Consider the following 25,405-nt stretch of genomic DNA (forward strand, 5'->3'; position numbering starts at 1 on the left):
ATGGGATGCTGAGTATTCTGGGCAGTATGCAGCAGGTCTAGAGATTGAACAGGTGTTTTACGCATGTATATTCTTTGACTTCCAACTCACGTATAGTGTCTTCTAGCTCTATTTCCCAATGAGCTATTTGAGCTGACTGGCTCATTTCCTACTGAAAATAAATTTGAACTTCACAGGAAAATATCCTGATTTACTTAATTGCAAAAGATATGTCAATATTTTAATATCCAACTTTTCAATTCCAATCATTAGGGACTATTTTCATAATATGTTTAATTCAAGGACTTCTAAAATATAAGCAATGATTTGGGAAAAGGAAAGATGAACTTGGAAGGAGCAGAGTCTCTACAGTAAAAAATAATTGGTTCTGTTCTAGCTGCATGGCTTTATTCATGTAACTCCTTCAATCACAGCAATGTTTACTTAATACCTACCATGCACTAAAAAGACATACAAGACATTTAAGACATAACTCTGAAACAATAGGCACCGTATCAACAATGAGCTTAGGGTCTAGGAACACCTAAATAACTACAAACAGGGCAATAAATACAGTCATGAGGTTTGTACAGAAAGCCAGGGGGATAAATGGAAACCATGTCTATTGTATTTTGGGGGATCAAGGTAGGAGTATTTCGAGAAATACAGCAGAAATCAGCCAAAAGAAGGAAGGAGATAAAGGATAAACAAATTCTTTCCGATAGAAAAAAACATGGACATAAGGTGGACAGATGACATAGAGTTCATTGATGAAACCAGTGTGAATTTCTATATTTCTATCTTTTCTCTCAAAATGGGAACCATAATGCTTGTTACACCTACCCTACAGGGATTTATTTATAAAGAGCAAATGAAATGGAAATGTTAGAGAATAAATATGAGAATTGGAGTATTTCTAGTTTCACTAGGGTGGCTTCTATTCATAGTAAAGACTTTTCTAAACTTCTTATTAACTATTATTCAGTTTGTTGAAGTACAAGTAGAAAAACAATTTTAGTTAGTCAAATGTTTAAATATTATTACTCTATGTATAAATATACTATATTTTATCAATTCTTTACAACATTTTTGTATCTTAGCTAAAATCCCTTATATATTATTACATTATAAATTTAACATATTAAATTTTTTAAATACCTAAATGTCTAACAAAACATTACCAATTATTAAATGTCCTATAAATCTAATGAGTTAAGCTCATAAAGTTGATAAATTTTGAATTCACATAAGCATTTCAGTGTTGCTTACAATCTTAATGAAAATCCCTTTATACTTTTTAATATTAAGTGTAAACATAATTAATCTCTTTATACATTTCAAACAGAAAAATGAGGCTTATCTGTTAGGTCTCTAGTCTACCAAATTCTTTTAAACATAACAAATCCCACAATGCTAAATATAAATAGTTGTTACAAATATAACACAAAAATATTCAAATGATGAGTTTGATTGGCTTCGAAATTTTGAATATTTATTTCTGACTATTCTAAAATTCATATTCAGTGCTTATCTACTACCAATTGTATTATTCCAAAAAAATCAGGATTCTCTTTTCAGTATTTTTACATCATCCATAGAGATATTTGATCAGAATGCTGGTGTCAATTCTTGCTTAATATACTAATTGAGACCATGAACCCCTATAGTCACAAAAACAAATTTCTATGATTTACTAAGAACTATAATCCTACATATTCACCTGATTTAAATCAGAACCTACCAACCAAATTTTCTGATCTGTTCATTGAATTCAACTAATTAATTTACTGCCAAATTCTATTCTAAAATATTGTTCCTCTTTCTCCTATGTGATAGGACCACAATTTATATAGCTATTTTTATTACATCCCATTAGATTTTTTCATCTCTCAAAAGTTTGTCACATAACTCACATTTGACATACATTAGTATCATGTACTGCCCTAGGCACTGATGTAGAACCAAGAGACACAAAATTCATTCTCCCATGAGGCTTACATTCTCATGGGGTCAGCATCTGATTAGGGCTTACATAGAAAATTAAATAAGATTACAGAATAGTAACCAAGTAACTTCTTTCATTAGTTGGTCAGATAAGCCTTTTCCCAATAGAAAATGAGCAGAAACTTTAAGATCAGGGAAGAAATGTGACTGAATAGAAGGAACTGCTATGCATTAGGATTGAACATAACGTATTTAAGTGTCTCAAAATCAGGCAAGCAGGCCAGAACATAGTAAATTAAGGAGGGAAGGGTTGGACAGATACCTGCAGGTCAGATCTTTCAGACAATTTTAGGCAAGGATAAATGGAATAAAAAAGTCACTGGATAGTGTTAAGCAAGGGTTCACATGGGTGCATTAAAAAATAAAAACCCTACTGATTACCATGCGTCAACTAATTTTAAGAAGCTAGATTGTAAAGTAGTGAGATAAGAATGCAATTAATCAGGTGCCAGTTTTTGGGAACTCAACCAAGGAAATAAACATGAAGGTGATAAGAAATGGTCCAACTCAGGATATATTTTAGGGTTAGAATACATATTGCTGAGGGACTGAATCTGGACTTTGAGGGTAGAAGGGAAAATCAATTATTACTGTTGATGTATTACTCTGAAATTTGGAGTTTGAGAATCATGGTTGTGACAGTTCTATTTTGGACATGTTAAGTTGGAAATGTAAATTTAACATCCAAATGGTGATGTCAAAGGCACCGTTTGATATACGTCTGGGGTAATGGAGAAAAATCAGGGCTAAGAAACATATTTTAGAGTCATTGACATATAGGTGTATTTGAAGCCATGAAAGAGCTGAGATAATAAAAAGAGTAGGTAGAGAGAACAAGATCAAAGGGCCTGGGAGCAAGTGATGCAATATTTTGTAGATGAGAAAAAAAGAAAGACGAGCCAGGAAGAAAAAAAAAAAAGAAAGAAAGAAAGTAGATGGTGAAATATTTTATAGAAGGAAATACTGAGCATTTTGTTTTCTTAGAAGCCCAGGGAAAAAAGAGTTCAAGATGGGAGGTATGGTCAACAGTGTCAAATACTGAAAATCAGCTGGGTGAGATATAAACAGAGAAGTGAACATTGGATTTGACAACACAGAAGTAAGGTCAGAGCCTGACTAGAGAGAATTGAGAAGAGAACATGAAGTAAGGAAATTATGATAGTGTCTGTAGAAAATTCTTTCAACAAATACACATTATCTTGTTATTCTTGTTAGTCTAGTAGAGAGACGAGACAATATCTAGAAACCTATGTGGCATCAAGGGGTCAGGAGACAGTTTAGTTTTAAAAGAACACATGATTTTATGCTGATATAACTAAAACAGTAAAAATAGAGATACGCTTATGCAGGGGAAAGAAGAGATAACTGGCAATAATTTAATATTTGAGAAGTAAGACCAGATGAGATCTAGTACTCAAGTAGAGGTGGATCTTTGGTAGGATGTTTGGTAGGAACTAGAACAGTTTATTTTTATAACAAGAAAATAGAAAATAGGGAGTAAGAAATATAGTAAGAAAATATGACCAGATTGCTTGGTCATATTTGAAAGATTCCAAATATCCATTTGAATTCTGTGATCATGAATTTGAGTTAGACTCTTTAGCACTATCTTGTCATGTTCTCAGGCAGAATAGGAGCTAGATGAAGCCTGCAATCTTTGATTTTCTGTCAAAGTAATTTAACCGGAGAAAGAAGTGAGAGAACCAAGAATGTCTGCAAAAGATAAATTATAGCAATGTACCATGAAATCCAGGCTGGCCAGGGAGGGTTTGACAGCACAACAGGGCAACTGACAATGAGAAAAAGAAGTGGTGATGCAGTTTTGTTGTTGGTGATGAGGTTAATGATATAATACGGAAATGGACTGGGTGGTGCTGCTAAGTAAAAATGTCGTCAGTGAGGAGATGCAATGAAGGCAAATATTATCTACAATTGTTGAAGTCACAAGGAATAGTGATAGGGAAATGGGAGGGGAGATGTTAAGCAGGATGTTAAACTCACAAATGAATGAAATAGAAATGACTAGGAGACAAGTAAATTATAAGTAACAAGAAGAGGTAGCAGAGGCAACATGAAAAGTTTAAAATTCAGAATGAAGACTTAATAAAAGGGAATAGTAACTAAAAAAAATTGCCATTTCTATACTCTATATTTGTAAATTTTTCAATGAAGTATATAAATATCAAATTTTCTTCCTTTTAAATTACCACCTTATAGCCATAGAAATATAGATGGCCTATAACAAATACAGGTTTTAAAAAAACCCACAAAACTAATGCAAATTCACCCCATAGAGTGTTTAGCTTATTAAATATATGTACACTGAAAAAACTCAAAATCTTCTCTATATCTTCAAGTAAGTTGGTAATCTTTTTTTCTGTAAAGGGTAAGAGAGTAAATGTCTTAAGTTTTATAGGACATGCAGGCTCTATGGCAATTACTCAACTCTACTACTGTAATGTGAATGCAGCCATAGATAATATGTAGATAAATTTTTGTTTGTGAAACAATACAACTTTATTTATAAAAACAAGTGATGGGTTAAATCTGACTTCCTGGTCTTAGTTTGCCAACACTTGAGTTAGAGTCCAACAACCAACTTAATTAGAATCTCAGTTTTAAACTCTAGTGGATTATAAAAATCAATAATAGCAATGCCTTTATATCTATGTCTCTAAATATATATTTAAGTGGAAGTATTTGGAATTGAGTATTGAACTATGAATATTTTGCCTTAGAAATATTTGAAATTTTGGAGATTAAAGACGACTGAGTTATGCATAGTTGCTCAGCATTCTAAAGACACAGCATGTAGACAAATTCAATATAACATACTTATCATCAACTGGGTGCCGTGGCTCATGCCTGTAATCCAGCACTTTGAGAAGCCGAGGCAGGCGGAATACAAGGTCAAGAGATCAAGACCATCCTGGCCAACATGGTGAAACCTCGTCCCTACTAAAAATACAAAAATTAGCTGGGCTTGGTGGCATGTGGCTGTAGTCCTAGCAACTCGGGAGGCTGAGGCAGGAGAATTGCTTGAACCCAGGAAGCAGAGGTTGCAGTGAGCCGAGACTACGCCACTGCATTCCAGCCTGGTGAATGTTACCTATATGTATTTCTTCAAAAGATAAAATAAGACAAAAGATGTTTGAGGAAAAAATTATCATACTAGTTGCTCTTAGAAGAGTTCATTTAAATAAAATTTTTAGATAAAATTGTACATCCATCATTCATGATTACAAGATGAAATAAAAATGAAGTTAAGATAAAAATGGCTTAGGGTAACTTCCAGTTTCCAGTCTGGCATCTAAGGGCTCCAAAAGTTATCACTTCCATCTCTACAAGAAGATAAAGGAAACTGAACAAATTGAAAATCATCAATTCCTTTTATATCTATCTGATAATTGAAGTCACAAAGTCAATCACTGTCTCCCATAATTAGAGAGACAAAGCAAACTAACACAGGAATACAAAAACAAAATACTGCATGTTCTCACTTGTAAGTGGGAACTAAACATCAAGTACATATAGACACAAAGAAGGAAAAACCCACACCAGGGTCTTCTTGAGAGCAGAGGATGGAGGAAGGTGAGGATCAAAAAACACCTATCAGGTACTATGCTAATTACATTGGTGATAAAATAACCTATACACCGAATCCCCATGATATGCAATTTACCTATATAACAAACCTGCACATGGGCACTTGAACCTAAAATAAAAGTTAAAAAAAATTGGAGAGACAGACAGGCACATACAAAGTATCACAATATATCAGAGCAGAAGTCAAGGAGCAAAAACTGCTGCTAGAGCCAGTAGTGAGGTAAGAAAATTTAACTGTAATTTAAAAAGTGTTGAAGGCTTAGTGTGGACAAGATAAAAATCTACCCCTAGTCATATTAGATTCAAACTGCAGAAAATCAAGATGAGAGAATATTCAAAGAAGTCAAAAGCAAAAATACACTTTACCTATAGAGAAGCCAGGATAAGATTATATCTGACTTCAGACACCATGCAAGTAAGAAAAGAGTATGACAAAATATTTAAAACAGTGAAAGAAGAAAATGTGACCAACCTAAATTTCTGTTTTCTATAAAATTATCCTTCAAAGGTAAAAGAAAAATACAGATTTTCTGAGATAAACAAAAATTGAGAGAATTTGTTACTATTAGACCCGCCTTGCAAGAAATGTTAAAGCAAATACTTCAGAAAGAAGAAAAATTATATAGGTCAGGAAGTCATATTTACATTTTATTAGTCTAATTGTGCTGCAATAACAAAATACTTCAAACTGGTAAATTTATAAATAATAGCAATTAATTTGTCCACAGTCTGAAGGCTGGGAAGTCCAAGATCAAGGTGCTGGCAGATTCATTGTCTGATAAGGACTCTCTCTTTCTGCTCCCAAGATGGTGTCTTGTCACTGTGTTCTCTAGAGGGAACAAACACTGTGTCCTCATATGGTGAAAGGGGAAAAAGGGGTGGTAGCTCTCTGAAGACCCTTTTATGAGGCTTTAATCCTATTCATGAAGACAGAGCCCTCATGACTTAATCACTTCCTCAAAGACCTCACCTCTTAATACTATCATGTTGGGGTTTTTGTTCCAGCATATACATTTTGAAGGAAAACATACATTTACACCATAGAGCCTGCAGTAGTAGCAGCCTTGAGGACATTTATTTCTCCTTGGCTTCACCCCTAAGGAGGTGCCATAGGATTCAGAGCTTATTTTTGGAACTATTTTCACAATTACCTATAAATCGGTACCTGGGGTGAAGGTATTACCTACTCTACTGTACCTTTAAGAAGTTTAACGATAGCAATTTGATGTCAAACTTAATGGTATGAATGTTATCACTCATGAACTAATAGTACCTTGCATGGATATGCTTAAGATTAAACACGGGCCTAGAACCATTGAATTGGGAAAAATGAAGAAACATTTTAGGAGAAGGAAAATATAAATTTTTGTAATTGCATTCTTCACTTGTGATTCTCACTCTTCTCAACCCAATAAACCTTACTTCCATTCCTTATGTTCCCTCATAGTCATTATAAAGACAAGATCATCTACACAATTAAGTCAACCTTTCAAACTTATTTTTTCCTATCTGCTTAAGGAGCATATGTTTCAGTTGTTCATTCCAATTTCCAATGAGATAACTGCACTAAGGCTGACAGGGATGGCGTATGTTCATGTTATGTTTTATTGCCTGCTTTTTTGTTTGTTTGTTTGTTTGCATTTCTTACCAAAAAAATAATTTCAGCTTCAATCAAGAATTTGCTGTTTCAAACCTTTGATTGTATTCTCTGAGACTACTTGCGTTACAAGTTAATTGAGAAATGGGTTAGAATAAGTGTTCATCTCAGTTAACACCCACTTATTATACCTCAAAGAAATCTGAAAGGCCAGCAATGAACTCAAACCTTTTATTAAGGAATTGTATTCACAGCTGTTTTCAAGCATTTATTTCCTATGAGTGATAGGTGTCATTTTTTAAATCACATTGGTAGTTTTCACTGATGCAAAGAAAAGTGTTATCTCTCTGCCCATTGATGAGTGGCTTAAGCAACTATCTGCCTTTGTATTTCATGAAGTCAACTAGCAAGCTTAGGAAACGGACTGAGGCATCTGAGCTGGTACCTGAGCTTTGGTTTTGTTTTGTTGTCTTATTAGTAGGAAGGCGGTAAATAACTCATAACCAATTAAATTGTCATAGAAGTTTACATATGAAGTGCAGTTATCTGGAGCAATCAATTCTGCCCTGTATTTTACTGAACAGTGTATGTTTGATATGTAGACATTAGCAGAAAACTGATTTATAGTGCTTAATATTATTAATAATGAGATATTCATTAGTGGCACAGGTTAATGAAATATCACTATAAATAATTATGTGTAATACCTCATTACCCAACATAAATGTAAATGCTCTTTAGTTTCAAAATTTTTGTAATATTCAATCTCCCTACTTTGAGAGAAAAGCATTTACTAATTGCCTGTCAATTATCAAAAATGCAACTATGCCATAGTGACTTACCATCCCTTTTCCAGTTTTTTGTTGGTTTGTTTGTTTACAAAATATTACTTGTCTTTGCATGAATCTAAAGCACCTAGTTACATTATGTGGTTCATTTGGCTCAAATTTTAATGAAGTATATCCATTAAATTATCTTGATACACCTACTCTAAATTATGAGTCTTCTAAATATTTCAAGGAAATTAACAAAGCAATGTATATGCTGTCTCCCTGTAACTGAATGAAAATTAGGTAAAACAGAAATGCCAGTGAAGAGTCAATATTATTTTAATGAGAGAAAAAATGAGGCAACAAAAGGATCATGCAGAACAGTAATGTCTTTTGACATGTCTCACAAGTCTGAAGTGGACATGTAGAACACTCTCCCTGACAAGCTCAGCCTCTGCGCTCTGTGCTGTCAAGTGCTGCCCACCCATCAGTGTGCAGAGGCAGCCTGTGGGAAAGCTTACCTCATGGGCAAAACCAGCATTTTGTAAAAAGCTTGAAGGAAGCGTTTTTATCTAAAGCTTGAAAAGCATCGATTCCACATAATTTGATTAAAAACATCTATTAATGTGAACCTTTAAAAATAACAGTGCAAAGCAAACAAACAACTCCATCCAAAAGTAGGTGAAGGATATGAACAGACACTTCTCAAAAGAAGACCTTTATGCGGCCAACAAACATATGAAAAAAAGCTCATCATCACTGGTATTAGAGAAATGCAAATCAAAACCACAATGAACTACCATCTTATGCCAGTCAGAATGGCAATTATTAAAAAGTCAGAAAACAACAGATGTTGGAGAGGCTCTGGAGAAATAGGAACCCTTTTACACTGTTGGTGGGAGTGCAAATTACTTCAAACATTGTGGAAGACAGTGTGGCGATTCCTCAAGGATTTAGAACCAGAAATACCATTTGACCAAATACCATTTGACCCAGCATCCTATTACTGGGTATATACCCAAAGGATTATAAATCATTCTACTATAAAGACACATGCACAGGTATGTTTATTGCAGCACTATTTACAATAGCAAAGACTTGGGACCAACCCAAATGCCTATCAGTGAAAGACTGGATAAAGAAAATGTGGCACATATATGCTGTGGAATACTATGCAGCCATTAAAAAGAATGAGTTCTGGTCCTTTGCAGGGACATGGATGAAGCTGGAAGCTATCATTCTCAGCAAACTAATACAGGAACAGAAAACCAAACACTGCATGTTCTCACTCATAAGTGGGAGGTGAACAACGAGAACACATGGACACAAGGAGGGTAGCATCACCTACCAGGGCCTGTTGGGGGGCAGGCCAAGGGGAGGGAGAACATCAGGACAAATACCTAATGCATGTGGGGCTTAAAACCTAGATGGCAGTTGATAGGTGCAGCAAACCACTACGGCACATGCATATCTATGTAACAAACCTGCACATTCTGCACATGTATCCTAGAACTTAAAATAAAATAAAATAATTTAATTTAAAAAGAAGTTGTTCAAATAGGACTCAGCTCAATGTCTCTGAAGTTCTCTCAGTCTTCTCACCTCTCTGTGTTGCTTTTATGCTTCAAGTTTTACATCTGTTCAAGGCCCAGAGGAAGAGGGAACCGACTTTCTGCAGATCACTCTTTTTTTGTTGTTTGTTTGAGACAGAGCCTGGCACTGTCATCCAGGCTGGAGTGCAGTGGCACGATCTCAGCTCACCGCAACCTCCACTTCCTGGGTTCGAGCTGTTCTCTGGCTTCAACCTCATGAGTAGCTGGGATTACAGTGGCCCACGACCACCCCTGGCTAATTTTTGTATTTTAGTAGAGACAGGGATTTGCCATGTTGGACAGGCTGGTCTAGAACTCCTGACCTCAAGTGATCTGCCCGCTTCGGCCACCCAAAGTGCTGGAATTACAGGCATGAACCACCATGCCCTGCCAGCTCACTCTTAAGAGTCAAAAGCAAGACTCCCTAGTCAGCCCTCACAACAACCACTGTGTCTTATTGTCTTATAGCTGGCCAAGTGCTCATTTCTGAAATAATGCTTTTGGCCAAGAAAATTGGAGCAACTAACATTGTCTGAAGAAATCACTGTGTGAAGGGAGATGGGAGTAATCTAATTTGGGTAAAATAATCAATGCCTATCATGAAGCAGGAAAAATGATCAATCTCTTCTCAAAGCACAGAGCTACTAAAGAGAGAAGGACACATGGAAGCATTTTGCAGAAATAGCCACACTACCAACTGTACTTCCTAAGCACAGAGATCTAGAAAGAAGAAAAGTTCCTAATTTTCAAGTCTTCAGGTAGGTCATTTATATTTTGCATGCATCCACTGCCAGTGTGTGTGGTATCCTGGGTCTCTAGGCATTACATCTTGCCTAGGAAATTAGCTCTGACCTATGTTTGGTTCACATGAGTCTATAATGAGCAAATACAATATAACAAAACACTTGTACTTTTCGTAAATCGGTACATTAGTAATGTGCTCATGCTTCAATAAAGACAATATTAGAATACTTAATAATAAAGTGATAAATATTATGTCAATTATGAAATAACTATTTTACTAAATAATGAATCAAGAAATATTATTTTTAAATGCCAACAGCTTGATCAAAACTTCACTTCTACCAGTTTTAATAAAAGCACGTCTATCAGTTTTGAGATGGTTCACTAATACAACAATGTCAATTTCTAAATAATTATAAACAATACAGAGGAAGAAAGCTGATTCTTAAATGCAGCAAATAAAGTCAGGAATAAGTTTGCTTTGTCCAACAAATACTCACCTAACAACCATCACACATTTAGCATTTGATTATGCATGTGTTAGAGAGGCATGCCATTCCATAATACAACATTATAACTAAAAGCCATCTGCTTCTGCTTATGTTTTAGCAAGTTTTTATAATATGAAAACTGCTATTTTCCACCAGAATAGACAGCTGGTTTGTCTTAATGTAGCTGGTCCTTAAATTTGACATGCCAGTCAAGCCACGAGGGGAGAACAAAATATATAATATGATATACCAGCAATGTCATTACAAGAGAATGAAATGTAGAAGCCAGTGTGTGTGTGTGTGTGTGTGTGTGTGTGTGTGTCTGTGTGTCTGTGTGTCTGTGTGGTGGGGGGTGTAATAGAAAGATAAAAATTAGAAGGGAAGAAAATTTTATTTACAAACAAGCATTACATAAGTTTCAGATGATTCACATTTAAAAGATATACTAATATTGATTTTTTTCAAAACACTCTACTTAAAACAAAAACAGCAAAATCTCCCTGAGATTATTTAAATAATTTAAGGTAAGCCATCCTCTGTCCTCAGCCCACTTGTATGGAACACTTCACCACAAATGTAAGGAATCTTAAACAATTTCTTCACCATCACTCCTCCATTTCACAAATGAAGAAACTAACCAAGTCCACACGAGGCAGAAGAAGAAAAGTCCAGATTACAACTCGGATACTAAAACTTTATCTCCACTGTATCAGACTATTTATCTGATGCAAATCATTCCCTGTGTCTCCACCTAATCTGCTAATTTTCACCTACATACAGTTACTCATTAAGATCCTTCAGGAATTCAATTGAAATTCTTTTCAGTCAAACATTTCCCTAATCCTGCTTTCCGTTAAAATTCGGCTTACATTTAATAAATTCCAGGAAGCTATTCATGATCACTCACATACTTCTTAAAGTCCCTGTGTCTGATCATTAAGATTCATCGTCAATAATCATACATAGAGATGATTAATAGTATATTGGTTTCATACTCATTACACATAGTTCAATAAGTAGTTAATTTAACTGTAAAAGGTATCCAATGTTAAAGTAAGTTACAAATAATGTGAGAATTTAACCAAGGCAAACTTTTGGAATGAGCTGTCAATTTCACTTCATTAAGGTTTTGGTGAACGTTTACTTTCTGTTTTCCGATTGTGATTAACTTTTGAACTTCTATGCCTCATGCTAATTTAAATTATTATACCCATTATATTAATAAAATCATCACTGATTATGGCACTGATTATGGCAAATAAGCATAGAATCCACAAATCCCCTCTATGGAAATTGGCAGTATTAAGTAAAAATTAGTATTATCATAAAGCATATCAACTGTGCTTTCTGATCTAGCTTTTAATTTATGACCACACTTCTCAAGTGGGTCTTCAGCTTCCATACCCTCAACCCCCAAAATTCTATTAAGCTTTCCCAATAGCCCTGCTACTCACTGTGCTGAATGAACTATTTCTCTCCCTTTCTGTCTTCTACAACTGCCAGCACCCCGTTTATTATTTTCTCTTAGTGAATCATCTTCATTTGTATTTCCTGAGAAAATACAAGCTCTAAGAATAAAATTACCAATTTTTCTACCATCCAACTAACTACAAATCTTCTTGATAATATGTGAAAGCTGTATCTTGTCCAACATAAGAACAACCCTTCTACATGTGAACGGATTTTACCTTCTCTTATCTTCCTAAAGCTTAACTCCTAAAATTATTTCTTCTTTCTCTTAAATCATAAATTTCCCTCTGTATAATCACATCCAAGAAATTGGATGAAATTGCTTCCATTTATTCAACGTATATCCTTAACCAAGGCAGAGGTTGCAGTGAGCCAAGATTGCACCACGGCACTCCAGCCTAGACAACAGAGTGAGGCTCCATCTTTAAAAAAAAAAAAAAAAAAAAAAAAGTATATCCTTAACACTTTAAGCTTTTTCATTTGTGTATTAGCCCATTTTCATACTGCTGTAAAGACATACCCAAGACTGGGTAATTTATAAATGAAAGAGGTTTAATTGACTCACAGTTCTGCAGGGCTGGGGAAGCCTCAGGAAACTTACAATCATGGTGTAAGGGGAAGAGGCATTTCTTACATGGCAGCAGATGAGAGAGAGAATGGCAAAAGAAGAGGGAAGAACCCCTTATATTAATAAAATCATCAGATCTTGTGAGAACTCATTCACTATCATAAGAACAGCAAGAGGCAAACCACCCCCATGATTCAATTACCTCCATCTGGATTCTCCCTAGCCACGTGGGGTTCATGGAGATTACAATTCAAGATGAGATTTTGGTGGGAACACAAAGCCTAACCATATAAATTTGCCACCTCATTTCTCTGCTCATTGTAATGGCAAAATTCTTTTAAAGAGGTGCCTAATCACAGTCTCCCCTTTTACATCTCCCACAAAACACTCTAATGTGAGTTTTCCCACCATCACTGTACTAAAATCATTCTCATCAAGGCCTCTGAGAGCCTTCCTTTCTTCCAATCAAATGACCTAACATCTTACTATTCTTCATCTACTCAAACCCTTAGCAATGATTGACATGGTCAAATCACTATTCAACTCTTGACTGTTCTACTGGAAACTGCCGTTTTTCACTTAGTCTTAGAGAATGCACTTCCTTGCTTTTCTGCTGACCCCACTAGACATTTTTCTCAATCTCATTTGCTGTCTCCCTTTTCCCCTTACCTAAATCTTGGATTGCCCTAAACCTCAGTTTTTTGCCTTTTTTTCCTTTTCAAACTGCACTCCCTCTATTTGTGATGTCATGCTGTATCATGGCTGTCACTGTTATGACTACAAAATATGTACCTCTAGTTCTGGACTTTCCCCTAGAGTTCTATGTTACTTGTTCAGTTTTCTATTGACATGCCCAATCACACCAAAATTTACATGAGCAAAAGGAAATGTCTGAATCGTGATGACTCCACTCCTTAAAAATACCTTCCTTTTTGGTCTTTCCAAACTCAGAATGACCGTTTGAGTAATTAGGCCAAAACATACATAATATGGTTTGGATCTCTGTCCCCACCCAAATCTCATGTTCAATTGTAATCCCCAGTGTTGGTGATGGGATGGTGGGAGGTGATTGGATCATGGGGGCAGATTTCTCACGAATGGCTTAGCACCATCCCCTGGGTGCCATCCATGAAATAGTGAGTGAGTTCTCATGAGTTCTGGTAGTTTAAAAGTGTGTGCCATCTCTTGTTCCTGCTCCAGCCAAGTAACATATCTGCTCTCCTTCACCTTCCACCATGATTGTCAGTTTCTTGAGGCCTCCCCAGAAGCCAAGCAGATGCCAGCATCATGCTTCCAACCGTGAGTCAATTAAACCTCTTTTCTTTATAAATTATCCAGTCTCAGGTATTTCTTTATAGCAATGCAAGAACAGTCTAACTCAATACACTTTACCCTTTATTCTTTACTTTCCAGTAAACCTACATTCAATCAATCAGAAAATCCTACTTTGAAATTACACCTTGAATGTGTCCACTTTATTCTATCACTTTTTACTGGTAATGCCTTCCAAACAGGTCTCCATGGTGACTTTCTTGTCACATTCATAAGCAATTCTTCATGCAGCATTCAGAAAACTCTTCCAAAAATGCAGAAGTTCTCTTGCTCGAACCTACCACTGGCTGTTAATAATACTTAGAATAAAATCCAACTTCTTAGATCCATCACGATATAGCCTCTGCCTACCTCTCCAGTCTCAAGTTCTCTTCTCCTTGTCTCTTGCAATCCAAATGCCAGATTTTTTTGTTCATCTTCAAATTTTATATATACCTTCACTCTAGCAATCTCACCTTTAGCAATTATTTGAAAGTTGAGTGACTTATTTTAATTCGCTTTACTCCTTTTTCAAAATCTAAGTGCTATTGTTCTCATCCTTCGATCTGATTGGTGGTTAGCAATTATTTGAAATAAAAAAATACACAGCTAATAATGTCAGATTTATACAGATATTTATTGTAGTGCTGTTAATGATAATATGAGATATTAAAATGACATGAACAATGTGAAATGTGTTTAATAAAGTTTCTTACATGGAGTAAATGAAATAATGGATTCAAGAGTAAATTTATTGATGTGATAATATATAATATATACTAGTAAATGAAAAAACTTTATAAAAGTTTCCACAGTATAATTCTGAATGTATGAGAAATAATAAATAACCAAACATGTAAAAAATGGAATATATACATTAATATGTTAACAGTAATAATTTAAGTATTGGAGAAAAGTTAATTTTAATCTTATTTGAGCTTATTTGTTTAAATATATTCTATAATAATGTGTATCACTTGGGAAATTAAGAAAATGTATATCTATAAAATATTGAGGATTATATTTACAAGAAGATTTTGAAAACACAGCCAGTTGATTGAGCCCTCATCTCCCTTTACTGTGAAATGCATGGGACTACCTCTTCAAATAAATACCAGGACTTAGAGGGGACAGCGTTTGATGCTTTGGATTATATTGGGGGTTTTGATGGAGATAACTGGTGTGAGAGTCCATCCACTCGGGTGGGAGCCTAACAATAGGAATTGGAAAGGGGTTGATATTAAGAAGATCTGTCTTTGCTGATATCTGGGGACTCCATGAAAAAAGGAAACTGTTGACCATTCTGAATCCCCAGAGTCCCAGAAAGCAAGAGTGAGTATAAGGATGATGTCTTTTGGGACTTCCAAAATGTAAGAATGAGGCCATAGTGAAACAAAGAGCCTTTCTTCAAGAACTTCAAAACAGAACCTGCTTTTAGACCTCAAGTGCAGGGATAGAAATGGGAAGCCCATTTGCATTTTGTCCCCACTGAACCTCTGCTATTTAGAATGCTGCAGCCACCTTGCCTAGGTACACAGGAGCTGACAACAGAGAAGCAGAGTGCCAATCTGAATTCACAAGAACTTACCACAAATCATTCGAAAGATGAGAACAATCGGACTTAGATTTTGAAAATGGAGTAAAGTGAAATAAAATAAATTACTCAACTTTCAAGTAAAGTTTCTTTCAAAAAAGAGAAAGAAACAAATTTTAAAAAGACATTGAAACAAACAAAAAACTTCAAACTGCACTGATCGTTTTCTACTACTCTGTAACAATGGCAACACTGCAGTTTAAAAAGCAGATGTTTGTTTTCTACAGTTTCCATGGTTTAGGAATACAGGTTAGGAGTACTGGGTCCTATGTTCAGGGTCTGCAATGCTGCAATGAAGGTACCAGCCGAGCTGCATTCCCATCTGGACATGCAGCCATTTCCAAACACGTCCAGGTTGTTGGCAAAATTCATTTCCTCCCAGGTATAGAATTTAGGGCCCCAGCTTCTTGCTGGCTATTGTCTGAGAGCTACTTCAGTTGACATGGGACCTCTCTGATGTGGCATTTTTCTTCTTCAGAGCCAGGAGGAGTAACATCCATCGACACTGTCATATTCTATTGATTAGAAATAAGTCCCAGTCCTGCCCCCATTGAAAGGCGGAGATTGTGTGGGAAGTAAACACCAGAGAGGAGAAGTTACTAGATATTATCTTAGAGTCTGTCTGACAAACAAAATTATGAAAAATGTAACTAAATTAAAGGAATTGGGTCATCACTGAGACCTATAATGAGCAAGAAATATATCAAGTCAGAGATCAAAAATTAAGAGGTTAAAATCATGAGGGGAAGGTCAGGGAACTGAGTGATGGAGTCAGAAGACCTAATGTATGATAACCTGGAGTCTTAGGGGTCGAAAACACACACAGGATAAAAGAAATAGAAGATCATGGAGACACAGTAATCAAATAATTAACAGAAAAATAATTCTTTTTACATGATGGAAACAATGTAATAGAAACATTGAAGTCTGAAAATCAAATGGGTTCATAGAGTTCCAATCTATATTGAGGAAAATACACCTACACACACACACAATTTATACACATACATATTTACACACACACACACACAGACAACATGGGATCTTCCTGAGTATACAACAACTAGTCTACATTTTCCAGTCTTCTTTGTAAGTAGATGTAGCCACAGATGAATAATTTTTGCTAATAAATTCTGAAAGGTATGCCACTTGCATACCTGGGCCATGGAAAATTATGAAAGCTCTTCATGTTCTCTTTTTACACGCACGGTAGATGGAATGGAAGCCACTCCTAAGGCAACTTTGTAAAGCACACTTGAGCTGGTAGAAGAATCGTCAGATGTGATGACAAGCTACAGGGAAAACTGCCTGCTGCCTTGTTCACCTGCCGCAAAGATAGAGCATATTTGTCAGTAAGTTTCTTGATCACAAAAATAGAAGTAAATCCTTCAGTTGCCTCTTAGAATCAACACTGTAGAAATAAAGATGAAAATACAAAGAACATATGAAAAATAATATTATTTTGAAGTCTGTGGACTTCGAACAAATAGAAGTTTTATAATTCGGGGCTTTGCTATAGATACAATGATATATCCACATCAAGATACATCATTCAGTTATTCAAAAGAATAAATTAGAATCGGTGAGTTGAAATGATTTCCATAGTGTCTCATCCTTGGAATGAAGAAGAAAAACAAAAAGTGGGAAAGTGTGTTTAATGAAGTGTCGTTAAAAAAGAAAAATGGCAACATTAACTTTAAAAAAACATCACTTTATTGGGCGGGTGTGGTGGCCAACACCTGTAATCCCAGCACTTTGGGAGGCCGAAGCGGGTGGATTGCCTGAGCTCAGGAGTTCGACATCAGCCTGGGCAACACGGTGAAACTCCGTCTCTACCTAAAATACAAAAAAATTAGCCGGGCTTGGTGGTAGGCCTCTGTAGTCCCAGCTACTCAGGAGGCTGAGGCAGGAGAATCGCTTGAACCTGGGAAGTGGAGGTTGCAGTGAGCCAAGATTGCAGCAGCACGGGTGACACAGCGAGACTCTGGTTCAAGAAAAAAAATCACTTTATAAATACTTCTATGTTTACAAAAAAAGAATGCTGAAGGATATACATGAGGTTGTTACAAAGACAACTTAAAGAGAGAAAGGAAATGGTATTGGGAATGGGAAGAAGAATGAGAAGGGGATCCAAGCAGAAAAATAATACACTAAAAAGAATTAATATGATCACATGCATAATTAATGTAAAAGCCTCTTTAAGTGTACACATGTGTAAGGAAGTTAAATAGATATTTATTAAACAATTTTAATTATCTCAAATTCGCTTTCTATAGCTATATGGCAGACCTAGAACAGGATAGTTACCAATGAAGTGTAATGTGTTGTTTCTCAAAGATATTGGGGGGCAAAGGATGCATGGAAAAACACAGGCATCCAATTGTTGTCCTAGATCCTGTATTACAACCTTAACTTTTTTTAGAAAATTTATTTTCTCTCATTTTAGTGTTTTAAAAAAATTTCAGATAAATGCCAACTGTTCCAATCTATTCAAACTGAAATGATGCAAATATCTATTCTATTATATATGCATTTATCTCAATATATTTTGATCTTTTATTCATCTTAATCTCAGTTGTTTTGAAAGCATATCAAAATTGAAAAATATAAGAATGATCTGATAAATTATTAAATATATTATATATTCTTCAAGCACATAAATCTAAACTTTGTTACCTGGGATTGTTTTAAAAATGGATTTCCACAAACCAATCATCTGCTTTCCTTGTTTCTATCATTTTTACATGTTAGTATTTTACAAGAAGCCAATTTATTATTATGGCTGTTTTTGAAATTTTTACTTTAAGAACTTTCATTTTGACAGAACTCTTTACATATTTGGCTTAATAATAATTTAGTAATTTAAATAAGCCAAAATGCTCTTTTGCAATTTTTAAAGTAATAGTCTTCATCTGCATTGCATTACAAATGTATCAAAACAATGAGAAATATGTTAATATTCACAATATGAAATATACAAATTTAAGAATGATTTTAGGTGACATTATTCTATATACAGAATAACCAGTAGCCAGAAAACAAAACTAAACACTCAAGTTGTTACTTGTACTTTGTGAAGAATGACATTTTCTCTCTGAGCCTTCTTTCAGTCTCTAAGAATTGCTGGTTAATTAAGTGAAATCTTTAAAAAGCTTTTGGATCCTCAAAGTTTTGCTGGGTGGCACTTGAAATTCCTGATGTGCTCAGTTTGTTTTCTATAGCTTGCCATTGCTGTCTCATGTCAGAATTCTTCAGTTACTCCATTTGTTGTTGTGATTGGTTTGATTTAGTTTGATTTGGTTTTGGTTTTATTTGCCTCAAAGTAGGATGCTACAGATCTCTTTTCCATTGGGTAGTCCACTTCTCTGCAGTACACTAAGTAGATATTCATCCTCTCCAAAATTTTAGTGATTTTTTTCAGTGACTAATTTGTCACTCACTGACCTAACCAACGAATATCTAAATATGATACTAAAGAGCTGCTATTTTTGAAATAGTTCATTTAGAAAAATAATAAATTTCATTTTATTCCATCTATTAGAAATATAAATATTCACATTTAATTTTTGTAGAGCATTTTTCCACCGCATTCCAATAAGCCATGTATAATGGAGGTGGTCTTCCCCGTGAAAGAAAAAACAAATGGTCTGCTCTCTGGCAGTGTCTTTTTTCCATCAGATCAAGGAAGTACATGCAGTGTAATAATATCACAACATCCACACATGAGGAAAGTCATCTAGTCCTTCTAGTCCACACTATTTTGTGTGTCCCAAATAAATATAAACTCTTGTAGAAATCAATACTGATAATAAGAAGAAAGAAAAATAAATTAGCAAACCAAAAACGTTTTTGGTTTGTCTATTTCAAAAAAAAAATGATCTATTTATATCTCTTCCTTTGAGAAATGTCTGTTCAGATCCTTTGCCCATTTTTTAATTTGGTTATTTGTTTTCTTGCTTTTGAGTTGTTTTAGTTCCTTATATAATTTTAATATTAGTCCCTCATCAGATATATGGTTTGCAAATATTTTCTCCCAACTCACAGGTTGTCTCTTCACTTTGTTATTTCCTTTGCTGTGTGGAAGATTTTTAGTTTGATGCAATCCCATTTGTTTGTTTTTGCTTTCGTTGCCTGTACTTTTGGAGTCCTATCTAAGAAATCATTGCCCAGAACAATGTTGTGGATCATTTCTCCTATTTTCTTCTAGTGGCTTTACAGTTGAAAGTCTTACATGTAAGTCATTTATCCATTTTGAGCTGATTTTTAAAATACAATGTGAGGTAAGTTCTAATTTAATTCTTCAGCTTGTGCATATCCAGTTTTCCCAGCACCATTTATTAAAGAAACAATCCTTTCACCATTGTGTTCTTAACACCTTTATCAAAAATCAATTGACTGAGAAAAGTTGGGTTTATTTGTGGGTTTCCATCCTATTCCGTTGGTTGATGTATCTACTTTTTATGTCAGTGCAATGCTGTTTTGGGTTACAATAGCTTCACACTGCATTTTAAATAAAGGTGTGTGATGTCTCCAGCTTTGTTATTTTTGCCCAAGATTGTTTTGGCTATTTTGGGACTTTTTTGGTTTCATATGAATTTTAGGATTGTTTTTCATATTTCTGTGAAAAATTGCATTAGAATTTTCATAGGAACTGTATTGAATCTGCAGATTATTTTGGGTAGTATGCATATTTTAACAAGATTAATTCTTCCAATCTATGAACATGAGATATCTTTTTATTTAATTGTGTCTTCTTCAATTTCTTTCATGATATTATATAGTTTTCAGTATACAGATACTTCACTTTCTTGGCTAAATTTACTCCAACATATTTTATTTTCTGCAGCTAAATTATAAATGGGATTGTTTTCTGGATTTCTTTATTGAATAGTTTATTTTTACCATATAGATATGTTACAGATTTTTGAATGTTGATTAATGATTGGCCAACAGCTATTTAAAAAAATTTCAACCTCTTTAATCGTTAGAGAAATGGAAGTTAAAACCACAAGATATCTCATCCTGCCTGTTAGAATGGCTATTATCAAAAAGATGAATGATGACGTGTTGGTGAGAATATGGAGAAAAGGCAATCCTTGTACACTGTTGGTGGGAGTGTAAATTAGTACGTCTACTATGGAAAATAATATAGAGGTTTCTCAGAAAGCTTAAAATATAATTGCCATATAATCCAGTGCTTCTGGGTATATATCCAAAGGGATTTAATTAGTATGTTAAAGAATATCTGCACTTCCATATTCATTTCAGCATTTTTTTACATTAGCCAAGAAAGAGAAGCAACCTAAGTGTCCATCAATGGATGAATGGATAAAGAAAGGGTGATTATATATACATATATATATACACGTATATATACGTATATATACGTGTATGTATATATATATACGTATATATACGTGTATATATATATATGTATATATACGTATATATACGTGTATATATATATGTATATATACGTGTATATATATATGTATATATATGTATGTATTGATAATGGGGGAGGCTATGAATGCATCAGGGTAGGAAGTTATGGGATATTCCTATACCTTCCACTCAATTTTGCTCCTAACTTAAAATTGTTTTTTACAAAATAAGTCTAAAAAAAAACTTACAATAAAAGTGAAACTTTTAATAGTATATAGTATTTCCAAAGTGAGCATCTCATTTTATATTATAGCTGCCCTGTTTATTTATTTAAATAGATGCCTATATAATAGAATTGAACTATCTGGATTTTGTTAGTTGTTCACAGCTCTAATTTTGTATATATATTTATAATATAAAAATATATTAAAAAATACATACACACACACATAGACACACACACACAGGCAATGGAATACTATGCATCCTTAATATAGAAGGAAATCCTGTCATTTGAGACAATATGAATGAAACTGGAGGATATTACATTATGTGAAAAAAGACAGGCACAGAAAGGCAAATACTACACGTTCTCACTCATACATGGACTCTGTCAAAGTAGATCCCATAGAAACAGAGAGTAAAAAGGTAGTTACCAGAGCCTGACAGTGGTAAGGGGAGGAGAGAGAAAGAGAAGATGCTGATCCAAGGGTACAAAGTTTCAGTTAGACTGGAGGAAGAAGTTTTAGTGATCTATTGCACTCCGTGTTCACCACTGTTAATAATACTGTATTGCATATTTCAAAATTGCTAAAATTTATTTTTAATGTTTTCGCCACAGAAAAAGATAAACTGGGGAGGTGAAATATATGTTCATTAGCTCGATTTATCTTTTAATAATATATACATAGATCAAAACATCACACTACCCTCAAAAATATATGTAATTATTGTTTGTTAGTTAAAAATAATTTTTCAAACCCCTGGGGAGTAAGTCTCTAATAAACTTCCCTGGCAGACAGCATTTCATACGTGTTGCCATCCACGTCCTGTGTAATTACTGGGAGAGAATTTTTGGAAGCTTGTGCCTGATTTCCTGAGACTTTCACGCACCTTTTTCCTTTGCTGATTTTTCTTGATATCCTTCAGCTATAGTAAATTAGAGCTGTGAGTACAACTGAGAAAAAAAAACAATTCAATTCTATTATATAGGCATCTATTTAAATAAATAAGCAGGGCAGCTATAATATAAAATGAGATGCTCACTTTGGAAATATTACATATTATTAAAAGTTTCACTTTTATTGTAAGGTTTCTTTTTTAGACTTATTTTTACAAAAACAATTTTAGGTTAGGAGCAAAGTTGAGAGGAAGGTACAGGGATATCCCATAACTTCCTACCCTCATGCATGCATAGCCTCCCCCATTATCAATATCACCACAAAGGTGGTACATTTTTTCTAACTGATGAACTTATATTGGCACATCATTATCACTGAAAAGACTATAGTTTACATTGTGGTTACTCTTGGTGTTCTACATTTTCTGGGTTTGGGTAAATGTATAATGACATGTAGTTATCATATAGAATTGTTTCACTGCCTTTAAAGTCCTCTGTTCTCTACCTATTCATCTGTCTCTTCTAATCATTGGCAACCACTGATCTTTTTACTGTCTCCATAGTTTTGCCTTTTTCAGAATATAATGTAGTTTGAATCACACAGTATGCAGCCTTTTCAGATGGGCTTTTTTCACTTAATAATATGCTTTTAAGATTTCTTCATGGCTTAAGAGCTTGTTTCCTTTTAGTGTTAAATATTATCCCATTGTCTGGATGTATCTGTTTATCCATTTACCTATTGAGGGTCATCTTGGGGGCTTTAAAGTTCATCAATTATGAATAAAAAGGCTACAAATATCCATGTGCAGGTTTTTGTGTGGACATAAGTTCTAAACTCCTTTGGGAAAATACCAAGGAGCATGGTTGCTAGACCAGATGGTGACAGTATGTTTAGTTTTGTAAGAAATCATCAAACCATCTCCTAAAGTGTCTGTACTGCTTTGTATTCCTTCCAGCCATTAATAAGGATTTCTGCTGCTCCACATTCTCACCAGCACTTGCCGGTGTTATGAATTTGGCCCATTTTAATGGGTTTGTAGTGGTATTTCATTGTCGTTTTGATTTTCATTTACCTGATGACATATATATGATGTGGAGCACTTTTTCTCTCCCTATTTGCCATCTCTATATCTTCTTTGGTGAGGTTTCTGTTAAGGTCTTTGGCCTATTTTTAGTTGAGTCTTTTATTATTGTTACATTTTAAGAGTTTTGTCTATATTTTGGATAACTGTCCTTTATTAGGTATGTTTTCTGCACATGCTTTCTTTCAGTCTGCAGCTTGTGTTTTCACTCTCTTGACAGTATCTTTTGCAGAGTAGAAATATTTAATTTTAATGAGGGTCCACTTATCAATTACTTCATGGATTGTGCCTTTGGTGTCATAACTGAAAAGTCATCATCAAACTCAAGGTAATCTAGATTTTATTCTATGTTATCATCTAGGAGTTTGATAGTGTTGTGTTTTACATTTAGGTATGTTATCCATTTGCAGTTAATTTTTGTGAAAAGTGTAAGATCTGTGTCTAGATTCCTTTTTTTGGCATATGAATGTCCACTTGTTCCAGCACCATTTGGGAAAAACATAATCTTTGCTTTATCGTCTTGCCTTTGCTTCCTTGTCAAAGATCAGTGGACTATATTTATCTGGGTCTATTTCTGGGCTCTCTATCCTGTTCCATTAATTAATTGTCTATTTGTTCACCAATACAATATTGTCTTCACTATTCTAGCTTCATAGTAAGTCTTAAAATTGGGTAATACTTGTCCTCCCACTTTGTCCTTCTTCAAAAAAGTCATCAATTCTGGGTCTTCTGCCTCTCCATGTAAGCTTTACAATCAGTTTGTCAGTATTCATATACCACTTTTCTGAGATTTTTATGGGGATTGCATTTACTTTATAGATTGAGAAGAACTGGCAATATTGAGTCTTCCTATTCATTAACATGAAATATATCTGTTTTGTTAGTTCTTCTTTGATTTATTTTATCAGTGTTTTGGAGGTTTCCTTGTATAGATTTTGTACGTTTCATTAGATTTATACATAAGTATTTAATTTGAGGTGAAGTGTTAATATAAATGTATTATGTTTTTTTATTTCAAATTCCACTTGTTCATTGATGGAATATAGGAAAGTTGTTATCTCCTATTTATTAAACTTGCATCCTGCAAACTTGCTATAATTGCTTATTAGTCCAAGGACTACTTTGTTGATTCATTCCATTTTTCTGCACAGATGATCAAGTCATCTGCAAATGAAAAGTTTTCTTTCTTACCAAAATGTCTATCATTTATTTCCTTTTCTTATCTCATTGTAGTAGCTAGGACTTCCAATACAATGTTGAAAACCAGTGGTGAGAGGACATACTTGTTTTGTTTCTGATCTTAGTGGGAAAGTTTCTAATTTCTCACATTAAGCATGATGTTAACTTAGATTTCCTGTAGATGTTCTTGAACAAGTTCAGTAAGTTCACCTCTATTACTAATTTACTGAGAGTTTGTATCATGAATGAGTGTTGGATTTTGTCAAATTATTTTTCTGCATCTATTGTTGAGATCATTTGATTTTTCTTCTTAACCCATTGATGTGATAAATTACATTAGTTGATATCTGAATGTTGAACCAGCTTGCATACTTCAAATAAATCCCATTTTTTATCATGGTGTATAATTATTTTTATAAGTTGTGGAATTCAATTTTCTAATTCTGGGTTTTTGCACCTGTGTTCATGAGCAATCTTGGTCTATAGTTTTCCTTTCTCATAATATCTTCATCTGATTTTGGTATTAGGGTGATTCTAGCTTCATAGAATGAGCTAGAAAGTATTTTCACTGCTTCCATCACAAATAAAGAGATTGTAGAGAATTTGGTATAATTTATTTCTTAAATTGCTTGGTAGAATTTTCCAGTGAACTCATCTGAGCCAGATTTATCCTGTTTTGGAATGTTATTAATTATTGATTCAATTTATTTAATAGATATAGGCCTATTCTGATTGTCTATTTCTTCTTGTGTAAGCTTTATCAGATTGTTTCTTTCAAGGAATTTGTCCATTTCATCTGTTATCAAATTTGTGAGCACAGAGTTGTTCATAGTATTCCTTCGTTATCTTTTCAAGGTCCATTAATGTCCACTTAATGTACTGATGTCTCCTTGTTCATTTCTGACATTAGTAC

The sequence above is a fragment of the Homo sapiens genome, chromosome 8 (genome assembly GCF_000001405.40).
Source record: "Homo sapiens chromosome 8, GRCh38.p14 Primary Assembly".
Taxonomy (NCBI): domain Eukaryota; kingdom Metazoa; phylum Chordata; class Mammalia; order Primates; family Hominidae; genus Homo; species Homo sapiens.